Raw genomic sequence first — 15,343 nt, forward strand, 5'->3', positions numbered from 1 at the left:
TATTTGTGAAAGCTCTGGAGGGAAAGAGGAATGAATGGGAGAAGTCAGGGCCTAAACTCCTTCACATGCCTAATGCTTCATGTGCATCAAACCCTACACAAAACATTTGGAAGAGGGGAAGGAGGGAGGAGGCTTAGTATTTAATGGGTACAGAGGTTTCATTTGAGAAGATGAAGAAAGTTCTAGAGAATGGATGGTACTGATGGTTGCCAACAATGTGGGTGTACTTAATGCCACTGAACTGTACACTTTAGAAGGGTTACAATGGTAAATTTTATGTTTGTATATATTTTACCACAATTTTGAAAAGATGCAACTAAAAAATAACCCCAATATTTAGAGTAAGCAATAAGCATCTGTGTATCTACACACACAGAGGAATGAATATATTTATTCATGTCAATTTCTTATTAGAATGATCAAGGTGATTATAAATTTTCTCATAATAGTCCCAGGATGAGAGGCAAGTATAATACTGTGGAGTCAGATGGTTCCAGATCTGAATTCTGGCTCTGCCACCTATTCAGTATATTATCTTGGGCAAGTTATCTATTTCTTGAGCCTCAGTTTCCTGATCTTTTAGAGGTATAGAATCTTACATATGGCATCAGTTTCAATGAACTAATACATAAAGGACCTAGTGGCAGATCTGGCAAAGAAGGGACACTCAAGTGTTTCATTCATGTCTGTGTTTCCCCTTTCAGGTGCAATGCAAGTGGGTCTACAGGCAATGCCCACTCCTGAGAATCCTGTTCCACTTCCAAGGAGCTCCAGGAGCTCTGTCTGCTCTATTGTGAATCCAACTCAATTTGATATCCCCAGGCTTATCAAAAATCAATCCTTACACTGTGGGCTCATTATTTTATAGGAAGACTGGAGTCACACTCTATTTACAAAGTCTTTGAGGTAAGTGATGACCTGTTGGAAAAATGCTTATAGTTTTAGAATTACCACACAATGCCTCTGACAAGACCTACTCCTGCTGGGATGAACTGGTTTCATGTGTATTAGATTATATGCCAAGAAATACTTGCCTTAAGACTGGCCCAAAAGCCCTGTCGGTCAAGACTCCAAATCAACCTCCAAGCAGGTACCATAGAAATCCAAACCCTTAGGCTGGCCCAGCAGGTTGACTTCAGAGGCAGCCAATCTGTGTGTGTATCTCAAGCTTGGTAAAAACATGCAAGTATGAAAGCAAATTGAGCCATAATCTCCACAAGTTAAATAATAAAGTAAACTTCTTATATAAGCCAAATCATGATTAACAGCTACACTTTGCTATCAGGGTAAGATAATTTGTGTTAAGAACTCATGAAAGTAATAGAATCATTCTGTGATGGTTTCAAGTATTTTCAAGCTTTACATCCTGTAATTCTAGGCTCTCTGGGACAATGCTGCTTTAGAATTCCATCCATAGGTGATTAGGTGTAAAGTAGCTAGCCTATCCCCACTGTTGACAAAGTGAGGTCACTATGAGCTGTCAACACAGAAAAGAAAGGACCTTAATACAACGGCTGCTGATGTTCAGGTGTCAGGGAGGGTGTGTACATGAGGCAAGAACCCAGCCGTGCAATGAAAGCAAGTTGGAGACAGGCTGGGATCAGAAACCTAATATATTTTAAGACTAATTTATTCTAATGGCCACAACAGATAAGCCACATTGCTCACCACCAAACAGGCCACTCATGAAGCCTTTATATGTCCATGGTGCACAGCCAGTAGCATCTATTTTGAAACTTTTTCCAGACCAAAACTATTTCTGCCTTGCTTTATAGGGTGAGGAATCCAGGGTCTCAGGGTAACATTTGTTTAAATACTAAGGTGAGTCCAAAGCTGTTCCTGAGAAAAATGTATATTTATGTGGCCACTCTTTGTGAATGTGGGATACCTTTCTACTCTGTCAAAATCATAGGCTAGGCTCCACAACTTCCGTATTTGAAGATCACCTCTATAATCACCTCTTTTGGCTTCCTAAAAAGAGCTGATTTGAATTAGCAATAGAGAACACCAGCACTGCAGCCCTTACCAGGGAGCAAATGGTTAAGCTTTTTGCCAGCTGATATGGTTTGGCTGTGTCCCCACCCAAATCTCATCTTGAATTGTAGCTCCCATAATTCCTACATGTCATGGGAGGGACCCAGTGGAAGGTAATTGAATCATAGGGGTGGGTCTTTCTCATGCTGTTCTTTTGATAGTGAATGAATCTCATGAGATCTGATGGTTTTATAAAGGTGAGTTCCCCTACACAAGCTCTCTTGCCTGCTGCCATGTAAGATGTGACTTTGCTCCTCCTTTGCCTTCCACCATGATTGTGAGGCCTCCCCAGCCATGTGGAACTGTGAGTCCATTAATCCTCTTTCCTTTATAAATTCCCCAGTCTGGGGTATGTCTTTATTAGCAGCATAAGAACAGACTAACACAGCAGCCTAGTCTTACAAAGAGCCCTATTGAATGGCAATATTTTGGGAGTGTCAATAGAGATGAAGCATCTAGAATTCAGCAATTCTAGGCTCTGTAAATTCTACTTAATTCAAGTTAGCCTGCTGAACACTCTACTGTAGAACCTATTTACTGAGTGCTTAGTGCTAAAATCATCTTAACTGGCTTACAGTTCAGTGTTTAGCATTCAGTTTTTATTGAAGAGGGCTGTAAGTACCAGTTCCTATGAAATCTGTTTTTGTAGTTGTTGCAAAAGAAGAATTCCATGGAAGCCATGATCTCTTGCAGTGACATCTCATTATACGTGCATTTAACTTATGTGAAGCAGATATTTGTGCTTGGACAGTGGGTACAGAGAGGGAAATAATTGAAATGATGTAACATAAAATACTATAAAAGTTATATTTTGCATATGTTCTATTGATTATTATACTGTATAGGTCTACAAATATTGTGTGTATGTATACTTCACTTAATCGACAATATAAGGAGTTTTGTTAGAGGAATTTGGATTAAACATGCTTTTTTCCTCACATGCTAATCTGGAACCTAATTCATGTGGAAAGCCGGTCATCATCCGCTGGACATGACGATTGACATCACCACTTAAGATGCCGTCTCCGGCCTGGTGTGGCTCCTGTCAGGCGAGGCCCTGGATTCCGTAAGCAGAGTTAAGACCCATGTGAAAAGTTCACCCTAGTAAAAGGTGCAGTTTCTTGCCTCGGTCCAAACGTCTCAGCACTTTCCAATCACATGTTGGGCAACTCTCCTGCACAGCCCACTTTCTAGACCTGAACTCTGCCCACTTGTTAGGGCGGCTGTGTGCTCAGGGCACAACCTTTGGCTTCTGCTGCCAGCCCCTGTGTCACTTGCTCATCAGCTTCTCGGGAGCAGGACCTGTCTTACTCTCTGTTTCACAAATGTTTAGTAGAATATCTGGCACATAGTAAATGGCAAATCAATATTTGTGGAACAAAACTTAATCTGCATGTGACTTTATCCTTGTTCCCACTGCTGCATTCCTGAGAACAGAGCCACTGGTAACCTCCCATTCAGCAAACATCCTTTCCTGTGTCCAGCCTTGGAAGTATCCCTTGGAGTAAATCTCTCTGTAAAGTCCCCTTGCAAGAAACACTTTTTAATGCCAGGCACGGTGGTTCACGCCTGTAATCCCAGCATTTTGGGAGGCCAACGCGTGTGGATCACCTGAGGTCAGGAGTTCAAGAGCAGCCTGGCCAACATGGCAAAACCCCGTCTCTACTAAAAACACAAAAATTAGCCGGGTATGGTGGTGGGTGCCTGTAATCCCAGCTACTTGGGAGGCTGAAGCAGGAGAATCGCCTGAACCTGGAGGGCGGAGGTTGCAGTGAGACGAGATGGCGCCATTGCACTCCAGCCTGGGTGACAAAGTGAGACTCCGTCTCAAAAAAAAAAAATACTTTTTAGTATCTGATATTAGGAAAATACTTTCTTTTCCCCTAAGGAACTAGTATATTCTACTTTTTCAATAATAAGAGCCATGTAAACTATCATCTCTCCCTTTCTCTGTCTCTCTCTCTCTCTGTAAGAGTGGCCAAGAACCTCAAAATAACTGTAAACTCAGTGAGAGCCACTGTATTGACCCTTTCAGTTCCATCATGTTTATATGACTTCTCTTAGATCCTGATTTTCAGCTTGGGGATTCTATTGCAGTTTTTCTCAAAGTGTGGCCTGGGAACACCTGTATCAGAATCATTGTAGGTGTCTGTTAAAAATGCTGATTTTCAGACCCCTCACAGACTTGTTAATCAGAAACTCCAGAAGTGAGATTCAGAAATTTGCATTCTACACAAACATCCCAGGTATCCTAATGCTCAGTTAAGTTTGAGAATCTATGGCCTATTTTTTTTTTTTTTTTTTTTGAGATGGAATTTTGCTCTTGTTACCCAGGCTGGAGTGCAATGGCACGATCTTGGCCCACTGCAACCTCTGCCTCCCGGGTTCAAGCAATTCTCCTGTCTCAGCCTCCTGAGTAGCTGGGACTACAGGCGCTGGCCACCGTGCCTGGCCAATTTTTGTATTTTTAGTAGAGACAGGGTTTCACCATGTTGGCCAGGCTAGTCTTGAACTCCTGACCGCAGGTGATCCACCGGCCTCCGCCTCCCAAAAGTGCTGGGATTACAGGCGTGAGCCACCGTGTCCGACCTCATTTTTATATGTTATTTGTTGTAAAACACTCAACATTCTTCTTGGAAGAAAAAGAAATTTACATAAGTGGTATAATATAAGAAAATATGCTGCATAACATAATGATGATGGCCTTCAGGTAATGTTAACAGCATTACTTAAAATAATTATTAATGTATTATCTTAATTTTTTTTTTTTTTTTTTTTTTTGAGACAGAGTTTCACTGTTGTTGCCCAGGCTGGAGTGCAATGGCTCGATCTCAGCTCACTGCAACCTCTGCCTCCCGGGTTCAAGGGATTCTCCTGCCTCAGCCTCCTGAGTAGCTGGGATTACAGGTGCCCACCACCATGCCCAGCTAGTTTTTTGTATTTTTAGTAGAGATGGGGTTTCACAAGACCAGGCTGGTCTTCAGCTCCTGACCTCAGGTGATCTACCTGCCTCGGCCTCCCAAAGTGCTGGGATTACAGGCATGAGCCACCACGCCTGGCCATTATCTTAATTTTTACTTGACCTTTGTACAATGGTATGAAAATAGTTCTCTATCAAGATTTATTCTGTTCACAACATTCTACAAGTGACTATTTTTCTTCAGAAATTATGACAATATTAAGTGGGTGTATTAAGTAAAACAAGAAATCGGTGCCTAAGAGTTAGAAATAAACTAACATATACGTACAATAAGATATACTGAGGACCACCAAGCCCCAGGAGCTGCACTTTGTCAGAGAACACTGTAACAAGCAAGACTCAGTTCCAGCCCTCAGATTGCTTATGGTCTGATGGGAAACGTAGACAGGTAAACGGGTGAAACCTCTTGCTTGTGTCCACAGCAACTGGCAGGGTCTGCAGGAAACAGGCCATTGCCAGAAAGAAAATCATCTTACTATTATCTACACAGAGTCCAGAACAGGATGCAAAACCAACTCTTTACTGCCCCCAGTGGAAAAAATCCTCTTCAGTCCATACGGCAACAACCAGAGGGCCCTCCTAGAATCACCCTGCTCCTGGCTTCTTCAGTTTCTTCCTCTCCCCACCGTGGGCTTAGTCCTAGCTTCTTGCAAGGGGTAGGTTCCGATTTCTCCTTAAAGACTGTTGCAGAGACAGAATTCCAGTCTCTCTGATTCTTCCCAGGGGCATATCTAAAATATCAGCAAACTGTTCTCTCCCCAGAATCAGCGGACTCGCATTGAATCTCCGTTTTAGCAAAGCCCAGGCTCCACACCTCCCCTGGGAGGCACAGAAACACAGGACAGTCCCTCCTACCCCGCCATGCAGGCAATTGCTGCACTGCTGGCATCCCCAGCTTGGGACCCAGCACAGAAGCCAGACATAGCCCCAGGGAGCCAGTGGCCAGGAGGAGTGTTCAGGGCACAGGGACCAGACGAATAAAAGCTGGAGACAAAAGAGAATGCTAGGCCAGGCATGGTGGCTCACGCCTGTAATCCCAGCATTTTGGGAGGCCGAGGCCAGCAGATCACCTGAGGTCAGGAGTTCAAGACCAGCCTAGCCAAAATGGCAAAACCCATCTCTACTAAAAATAGAAAAATTAGCTGGGCGTGGTGGTGGGCACCTGTAGTCCCAGCTACTCGGGAGGCTGAGACAGGAGAATCGCTTGAACCTGGGAGGTGGAGGTTGCAGTGAGCTGAGATGGTGCCACTGCACTCCAGCCTGGGCGGCAGAGTGAGACTCCATTTCAAAAAAAAAAAAAAAAGAGAGAGAACACTGGTATTGAGGGAATTTCAAGCCATTCTAAATGCCCGGAGAAGTAATTTTAAATTCTACTCATATTTCAAGGTTTCATTTAAATCACACCTTATCTATGAAGTGCTCTGGGATTAGGCTACTCTCGTTTATCTCCTTCCTTTCTAAGCATCTACGATATCTATCATTATGTGGCACAACCTTATGTTTCATTCTGTAGGGACTTCTGTTGTTCACTTGCTTGATGTGAGCAAACTGGTTTCCTTAACTAAACCATAAACTACCGGAGGGCAGGATCATTGTTTAGAGTTTTGCTTTATGATGACAGTTTTATTGAGCTATAATTCATATACCACACAATTCACCCATTTAAAATGTACAAGTCAGTGGGATTTTCTTTAGCATGCTTATAAGAGTGGGGCAACCACCCTCACAATTAATTTTAGGACGTTTTCATCATCCCCCAAAGAAACTCTCCTGCAGTAGCAGTCACTCCTCATTTTCCACACCCAGGCTGTGGGTTGGATTGTGTCCCCTCCAAAAAGATTATGTTCAAGCCCTCACCTCCAGAACCTGTGAATGTGACCCAGTTTGGAAGTGAGGTCTTTGCAGATGTAATCAAGTAAAGATGAGGTCATACTGGATTAGGGTTGGTCCTGAATCCAACATGACTGGCATCCTTATAAGACTGCAATTTGGATGCAGGGACAGAGACACACAGGGGAGAAGACCGTGTGAAGATGGAGACAGAGATTGCGGTGAAGCAGCTACAAACTAAGGAATGCCAAGGATTTGGGGGCAAACCCCAGAAGCAAGACAAGGCAAGAAAGTGTTCTTCCCTGAGTCCTCCAGAGGGACCGTGGCCCTGCCAACGCTGACTTCAGACCTCCAGCCTCCAGAATGGCGAGAATACGTTCCGGTTGTCCTAAGCCACCCAGTTTTATTCAGCAGCCCTAGGAATCTAAGGCACACCCCAACGATGCTCCCCACCTCCACCCCCTAGTAAACCACTAAACTACTTTCTGCCTCTGGAGATTAATCCGTTCTAGACATTCTGTATAAAAGGAATTACATAATATGTGGCCTTTTGTTACCGGTTTCTTTGACTTAGTATAATATTTTTAAGGTTCACCTATGTTGTATCAGTACCTCATTATTTTTGTTGCTGAATAATATTCCATTGTATGGCTATATCATATTTTGTTTATCCATTTATCAGTTGATAGACACTTGGCTTGTTTCTATTTTTTTAGCTATTATGAGTATTGCTGTTATGCAGATTCAGACAGGTTTTCATTTCTCTTAGGTGTATACCTGGAGTGAGATTGCTGAGTCATGTGGTAACTCTATGTTTAACCTTTTGAGGAAATGTTACACTGTCTACCTAAGTGCCTGCACCATTTCATATTCCCATCTGCAGTGTATGAGGGTACCAATTTATCCGCACCCTTGCCAACACTTATTATCTATGTTTAAATTGCAGCCATCGTAGTGGATGTGAAATGGTATCTCTTTGTGATTTTGATGTCAATGTCCCGGATGGGCAGTGATGATGAACATATTTTCATGTGCTTGTCAGCCACCTTTTTTGGAGAAATGTCTATTCAGATCCTTTGCCCATTTTTAAATTGAGTTATTGGTCTTTTTGTGGTGTAGTTATAGAAGGTCTCTGTTTATTCTGAATAACTGGATTGTCTTTTTATTCTTGTATTATTTATATACTTTATAGTTTTAAAATATTCCTCAGTTTGCCTCATGATCCTGAACCCATGAGGAGGGTTATCCTTGTGCTCTTAGACATTTCTGGTGTTCTAAGAAATCATTGGTTTTTATTTGATAGTTAATGAATGGCCTGGAATAACATATTTCAGAGCTTTCAGGTCAACTTTGGGGTAAAGAAAGGAACCTAATATTTACTGACTGCCCACCATCTGCCAGATGTTGTTGGCATATGTGTGATCCTCACCCCAACCTAGGAAGGTTCTGTGTTATCATCTCCAATAAACAGGTAAGCACAAAGAAATTAAATAACAACAGTTTTTTAAACACCCTGCTCCTTTGTCCCTTCATGATGTGGTAAAACAAAGACATATCAAAACCAGAGGACTTGCTTGTCAAGTTTCTAATGCCTGGAAAATGTCACCTTGGTACTTCAAGTCTTATTCAAGGAACTATTAAACAGTTTATATGGTTTTTCAGCTCATAAATTAATAAAATCCCTTCAAATATTTCCCTTAAGTGAAGTATAGGAATATAAGTATTGTTCCAAGTCTTCTGTTAAAAATTGAAGCACAGAAATGGGACTATGACTAAATTAACTGAATAGTAAAAAAGAGCTTGTGATTCAGGAATTCAGGGAGAGAGTTCGTGAGCTCTGCAGAGGTAACCTGTATGTGCATGCTCCAAAATCCACCGGCACTTTCCCGGCAGTCCAAAGTGCAAATGGTTTCTGCAGCTCATGATTCTGGCTCCAGGCCAGCGCCATGCTCACTTGAATTGCAGCCAAACACCCTCGGACTCATTGCCTGAACATGTGACTCAAATGCTCGCGTTCCCGCTGCTCAGTGTACTCTCCTGGAGACCCCCTGACATCAAATTCCCAAGGATCTCATTTCATTTTTTATAGACAAGTGTCTTCACCCTTCCAACTCTAAAGATAGATGTGAGGTGAAGATATATTCTTCAGGGTTTGAAAGCTCTATATAAAGTCCCCCAAACATTTAAAATCTGGAGATTCATCTCTGGAAAACAGTGCATCTGATCATCTTGATTTACAGCCTGTACTGGAAGTTTTTCTTTTAGAACAAAAGCTATTTGCAAACCATTCCTGTTTGTAAATAAATTATTTTCCTAAATATCAAAGGAAGACATCAGAAAGTACAAAAAGAAATAATAGATGGAATAATTTCTTGAAATTTACCCAAATAGATAATGAGCAAGACAACTGATAGCTCTCAGAATAAATATTCTCTGAGAGTAAGACTAATACGATCATGCCAATAGTTTAGTTTGACTTATTTTCATAGCGCTGCCCAAACAGATATGGAGAAAGGAATTATTTTGCCATGAGATAAGACTTAATCATCTCTGGGAAAGGGAATCCACAGGAACATTTTTGCTTATGCAAGAAAGATCCTGTTTATACTGCATGATTCTTTGCAGTTTTTCTCTCCCATCCCCTGTGGCTGTGTAGTTCTATCCTATTTGTGGCCCTGCTTCTAGATTGAGGCCCCATAAAGCAGGCTGCACAATGCCTGCAGCACATTATTTCTTGAAGAAATCCCAGGGAAAATAGACAGTGAAACTTAGCTTCCCTGGTCTTAGAAAAGGGCAAAGAAATTTTTGTTTCCCCCAAAGGCCAGTTGAAAAATGTCGTGTTGCCCCAGAAGTCCAGCCCTGGCCCTTCCTTGCTGCAAAGAGTCAATTGGTGCCTCCAGGTCCTTGCTTTTCCTTGACGACAGACTGGTGTAGTTTGAGACATCCCTGGCCCTTATCTCAGCCCAGCCCTTTGAAGCACTTGACAGCCGCTGCTGCTGCCACTTGCTTATCCCAAGGGAGGAAGTAGCTTCTGAAGGCTTTGAGGTCCAGTTCAGTCTGGATGTTTGAAAGGGTGAAAGGTAATTTTAATATGACTTCTAATTTATGTGATGCTTACATTTTTTTGAATTCTGTGCTTCCCAGGGGACACAGTAATTGAAAGTGTTTTTCATCCCATAGCAGGAAGGGATGAGGGTTGATGGATCGATTTTCCTCTGATTGTTAACCCTCCACCTCTCCTTCCCCCTCAGCTTCACTGTGTGTTATGTCTGTTTGTCTATCATGTCTGAAAACCTAGTTTGAATTACAAAATAGGTTGAGAGGAGCAGTGGGTGAAAGGATGGAGTTTTCTCTTCGATAATTTATTCAGCGGGTGCTAAAGATTTGGGGATCTTCTTGTCTTGATTGAATGGTGTAATGGTTAATACTGAGTGTCAACTTGACTGGATTGAAAGATACAAAGTATTGATCCTGGGTGTGTCTGTGAGGGTGTTGCCAAAGGAGATTAACATTTGAATCAGTGGGCTGGGAAACGCAGACCCACCCCTAATCTGCGTGGGCACAATCTAATCAGCTGCCAGCACGGCTGGAATATGAACAGGCAGAAAAATGTGGAAAAGAGAGACTGGCCTAGGCTCCCAGCCTACATCTTTCTCCCATGCGGGATGCTTCCTGCCCTCAAACATCAGACACCAAGTTCTTCAGTTTTGGGACTCGGACTGGCTCTCCTTGCTCCTCAGCCTGTAAATGGCCTATTGTGGGACCTTGTGATCATGTGAGGTAATACTTAATAAACTCCCCTTCATATATATTCCATTAGTTCCGTCCCTCTAGAGAACCCTGACAAATACAGATTTTGGTACCAGGAGTGGCTCTAGAGGGACAGAATATTAAGGATGGAGTTATTTCATTGGTTTTGGGGTTTCTGGAGTTTGCTTCTTAATATGATTAGACCCAAAAATGGTAAAGACTTTACTTCTAATGGTATGGAGAATGCTGATAGTCCTTGTCGTGAACTGTTTAGAGAGTTATGCAAAATAAATGCATTTGACACTCCTGATTCATCACTCGTGAGAGGCAAAGAGCTTAGTGACTCTATACGTAATACCTTTGACCATATGTGGAGAACCAGGGAGCATAATGAAGCTGATTGGTTACTTCTAAGTTCAATGGACAAAGTGATGAAAGAAAATGATGAACTCAGGGATTCTGTCTCCCGGCTTTAGAAGCAGACACTGAGCCTCAAATCTGCTAAGATTATCCTAATGAGAGTCTTATCGCCTGTAGAAAAAGAGCTGAAATTATGGAAAAACAGACACAAGCTCTTATCATGTTGAGTGGCTGACCTGCAACAAAAGGTGCATCCACAGCCTTGCCAGGTGTCTACTGTTAAAATGAGGGCATTGATTGGAAAAGAATGGGACCCTGCAACATGGAATAGGGACATGTGGGAGGACCCTGATGAAGCTGGGGGCACTGAGTTTGTAAACTCTGATGAACCTTTTTTGCCAGAGGGAACATCTTTCCCATCCCCAGAAGGGGCAATATCCCTCCCTGACCCATGCTGCCATCAGCCTTTCCATCTCTGTCTGAGGAGATAAACCCTGCACTGCCTGAGGCAGCAGTGATGGCCTCCCCTGAGGCAGCTGCCAGGCAAGATAATGTTGATTCTCCCCAGGAGCCACCCCCAACACCCCTGTTTGCTTCCAGACCTATAACTAGACTAAAGTCCCGGCAGGTCCCTGGAGGTGAAGTTGAGAATGTAACCCATGAGGAGGTGTGCTACACTCAAAAAGAACTGCTTGCATTTTCTAATTTATATAAACAGAAATCTGAAGAACAGGCATGGGAATGAATACTAAGGATGAGGGCTATTATGGTGGGAAAGGCCAAATGGAAGCCATTAGAGCTTCCCCTACCTAGAAAAATAGTAAATCAAAAACAATATCACATCCCTGGAGGGATTACAGAGATTAGTGCCACCATTAAGGACTTGAAAGATGCAGGGGTCATTGCTGAGGCTTGAGTAGGTAAACAAAGCAGCCTGGAAGCTCGAATTGGGTGGAGCCCACCGCAGTTCAAGGAGGCCTGCCTGCCTCCATAGACTCCACCTCTGGGGGCAGGGCATAGCCACCAACAAAAGGCAGCAGAAACCTCTGCAGACTTAAATGTCCCTGTCTGACAGCTTTGAAGAGAGCAGTGGTTCTCCCAGCACAGTTTGAGATCTGAGAATGGACAGACGGCCTCCTCAAACGGGTCCCTGACCCCCGAGTAGCCTAACTGGGAAGCACCCCCAGTAGGGGCAGACTGACACCTCACACGGCCGGGTACCCCTCTGAGACAAAGCTTCCAGAGGAACGATCAGGCAGCAACATTTGCTGTTCAGCAATATTCGCTGTTCTGCAGCCTCCGCTACTGATACCCAGGCAAACAGGGTTTGGAGTAGACTTCCAGCAAATTCCAACAGACCTGCAGCTGAGGGTCCTGACTGTTAGAAGGAAAACTAACAAACAGAAAGGACATCAGCACCAAAACCCCATCTGTACATCACTATCATCGAAGACCAAAGGTAGATAAAACCACAAAGGAGGAGAAAAAAACAGAGCAGAAAAGCTGAAAATTCTAAAAATCAGAGCGCCTCTCCCCCTCCAAAGGAACGCAGCTCCTCACCAGCAGTGGAACCAAGCTGGATGGAGAATGACTTTGAAGAGTTGAGAGAAGAAGGCTTCAGACGGTCAAACTTCTCCGAGCTAAAGAAGGAAGTTTGAACCCATTGCAAAGAAGCTAAAAAGCTTGAAAAAAGATTAGACGAATGGCTAACTAGAATAACCAGTGTAGAGAAGTCCTTAAATGACCTGATGGAGCTGAAAACCATGGCATGAGAACTACGGGATGAATGCACAAGCTTCAGTAGCCGATTCAATCAACTGGAAGAAAGGGTATCAGTGATTGAAGATCAAATGAATGAAATGAAATGAAGTGAGAAGAGAAGTTTAGAGAAAAAAAGAGTAAAAAGAAATGAATAAAGCCTCCAAGAAATATGGGACTATGTGAAAAGACCAAATCTACATCTGATTGGTGTACCTGAAAGTGATGGGGAGAATGGAACCAAGTTGGAAAACACTCTGCAGGATATTATCCAGGAGAACTTCCCTGACCTAGCAAGGCAGGCCAACATTAAATTCAGGAAATACAGAGAATGCCACAAAGATACTCCTCGAGAAGAGCAACTCCAAGACACATAATTGTCAGATTCACCAAAGTTGAAATGGAGGAAAAAATATTAAGGGCAGCCAGAGAGAAAGGTCAGGTTACCCACAAAGGGAAGCCCATCAGACTAACAGCTGATCTCTCCGCAGAAACTCTACAAGCAGAAGAGAGTGGGGGCCAGTATTCAACATTCTTAAAGAAAAGAATTTTCAACCCAGAATTTCATATCCAGCCAAACTAAGCTTCATAAGTGAAGGAGAAATAAAATCCTTTACAGACAAGCAAATGCTGACAGATTTTGTCACCACCAGGCCTGCCCTAAAAGAGCTCCTGAAGGAAGCACTAAACATGGAAAGGAACAACCAGTACCAGCCACTGCAAAAACATGCCAAATTGTAAAGACCATTGAGGCTAGGAAGAAACTGCATCAACTAATGAGCAAAATCACCAGCTAACATCATATTGACAGGATGAAATTCACACATAACAATATTAACCTTAAATATAAATGGGCTAAATGCTCCAATTAAAAGACTCAGACTGGCAAATTGGATAAAGAGTCAAGACCCATCAGTGTGCTGTATTCAGGAGACACATCTCACATGCAAAGACACACATAGGCTCAAAATAAAGGGATGGAGGAAGATCTACCAAGCAAATGGAAAACAAAAAAAAAGCAGGGGTTGCAATCCCAGTCTCTGATAAAACAGACTTTAACCAACAAAGATCAAAAGAGACAAAGAAGGCCATTACATAATGGTAAAGGGATCAATTCAACAAGAAGAGCTAACTATCCTAAATATATATGCACCCAATACAGGAGCACCCAGATTCATAAAGCAAGTCCTTAGAGACCTACAAAGAGATGTAGACTCCCACACAATAATAATGGGAGACTTTAACACCCCACTGTCAACATTAGACAGACCAACGAGACAGAAAGTTAAAAAGGATATCCAGGAATTGAACTCAGCTCTGCACCAAGCGGACCTAATAGACATCTACAGAACTCTCCACCCCAAATCAACAGAATATACATTCTTCTCAGCACTGCATCGCACTTATTCCAAAATTGACCACATAGTTGGAAGTAAGGCACTCCTCAGCAATGTAAAAGAACAGAAATTATAACAAACTGTCTCTCAGACCATAGTGCAATCAAATTAGAACTCAGGATTAAGAAACCCACTCAAAACCGCTCAACTACATGGAAACTGAACAACCTGCTCCTGAATGACTATTGGGTACATAATGAAATGAAGGCAGAAATAAAGATGTTCTTTGAAACCAATGAGAACAAAGACACAACATACCAGAATCTCTGGGACACATTTAAAGCAGTGCATAGAGGGAAATTTATAGCACTAAATGCCCACAAGAGAAAGCAGGAAAGATCAAAATTGACACCCTAACATCACAATGGAAAGAACTAGAGGAGCAAGAGCAAACACATTCAAAACTGGCAGAAGGCAAGAAATAACTAAGATCAGAGCAGAACTGAAGGAGATAGAGACACAAAAACCCTTCAAAAAAGCAATGAATCCAGGAGCTGGTTTTTTGAAAACATTAACAAAATGCATAGACTGCTAGCAAGACTAATAAAGAAGAAAAGAGAGAAGAATCAAATAGATGCAATAAAAAATGATAAAGGGGATATCACCACCAATCCCACAGAAATACAAACTACCATCAGAGAACACGATAAACACCTCTACGCAAATAAACTAGAAAATCTAGAAGAAATGGATAAATTCCTGGACACATACACCCTCCCAAGACTAAACCAGGAAGAAGTTGAATCCCTGAATAGACCAATAACTGGCTCTGAAATTGAGGCAATAATTAGTAGCCTACCAACCAAAAGAAGTCCAGGACCAGATGGATTCACAGCCGAATTCTACCAGGGGTACAAAGAAGAGCTGGTACCATTCCTTCTGAAACTATTCCTAACAATAGAAAAAAGGAGAACCCTCCCTAACTCATTTTATGAGGCCAGCATCATTGTGATACCAAAACCTGGCAGAGACAAAACAAAAAAAAAGAAAATTTCAGGCCAATATCCCTGATGAACATCGATGCAAAAATCCTCAATAAAATACTGGCAGACTGAATCCAGCAGCACATCAAAAAGCTTATCCACAACGATCAAGTCGGCTTCATACATGGGATGCAAGGCTGCTTCAACATATGCAAATCAACAAACGTAATCCAGCATATAAACAGAACCAAAGACAAAACCACATGATTATCTCAATAGATGCAGAAAAGGCCTTTGACAAAATTCAACAG

General features: G+C 42.4%; 1 long non-coding RNA gene across 3 annotated transcripts in view, besides 1 other annotated feature; it reads right to left on the reverse strand.

Annotated features, from left to right (window-relative positions):
• Positions 1-15,343, reverse strand: part of LOC105377529 (uncharacterized) — a 55,915-nt gene that overhangs the window by 31,030 nt on the left and 9,542 nt on the right. The gene's annotated exons all lie outside the window — the stretch shown is intronic.
• Positions 5,322-5,870: an enhancer, noted in NCBI's record as "H3K27ac-H3K4me1 hESC enhancer chr4:170232766-170233314 (GRCh37/hg19 assembly coordinates)". NCBI's record gives its function as "activates a minimal SCP1, AML or CMV promoter by ChIP-STARR-seq in primed H9 embryonic stem cells {active_cell/tissue: H9 hESC(primed)}" and the evidence as "EXISTENCE:reporter gene assay evidence [ECO:0000049][PMID:30033119]".

Source organism: Homo sapiens, chromosome 4 (genome assembly GCF_000001405.40).
Source record: "Homo sapiens chromosome 4, GRCh38.p14 Primary Assembly".
NCBI lineage: Eukaryota > Metazoa > Chordata > Mammalia > Primates > Hominidae > Homo > Homo sapiens.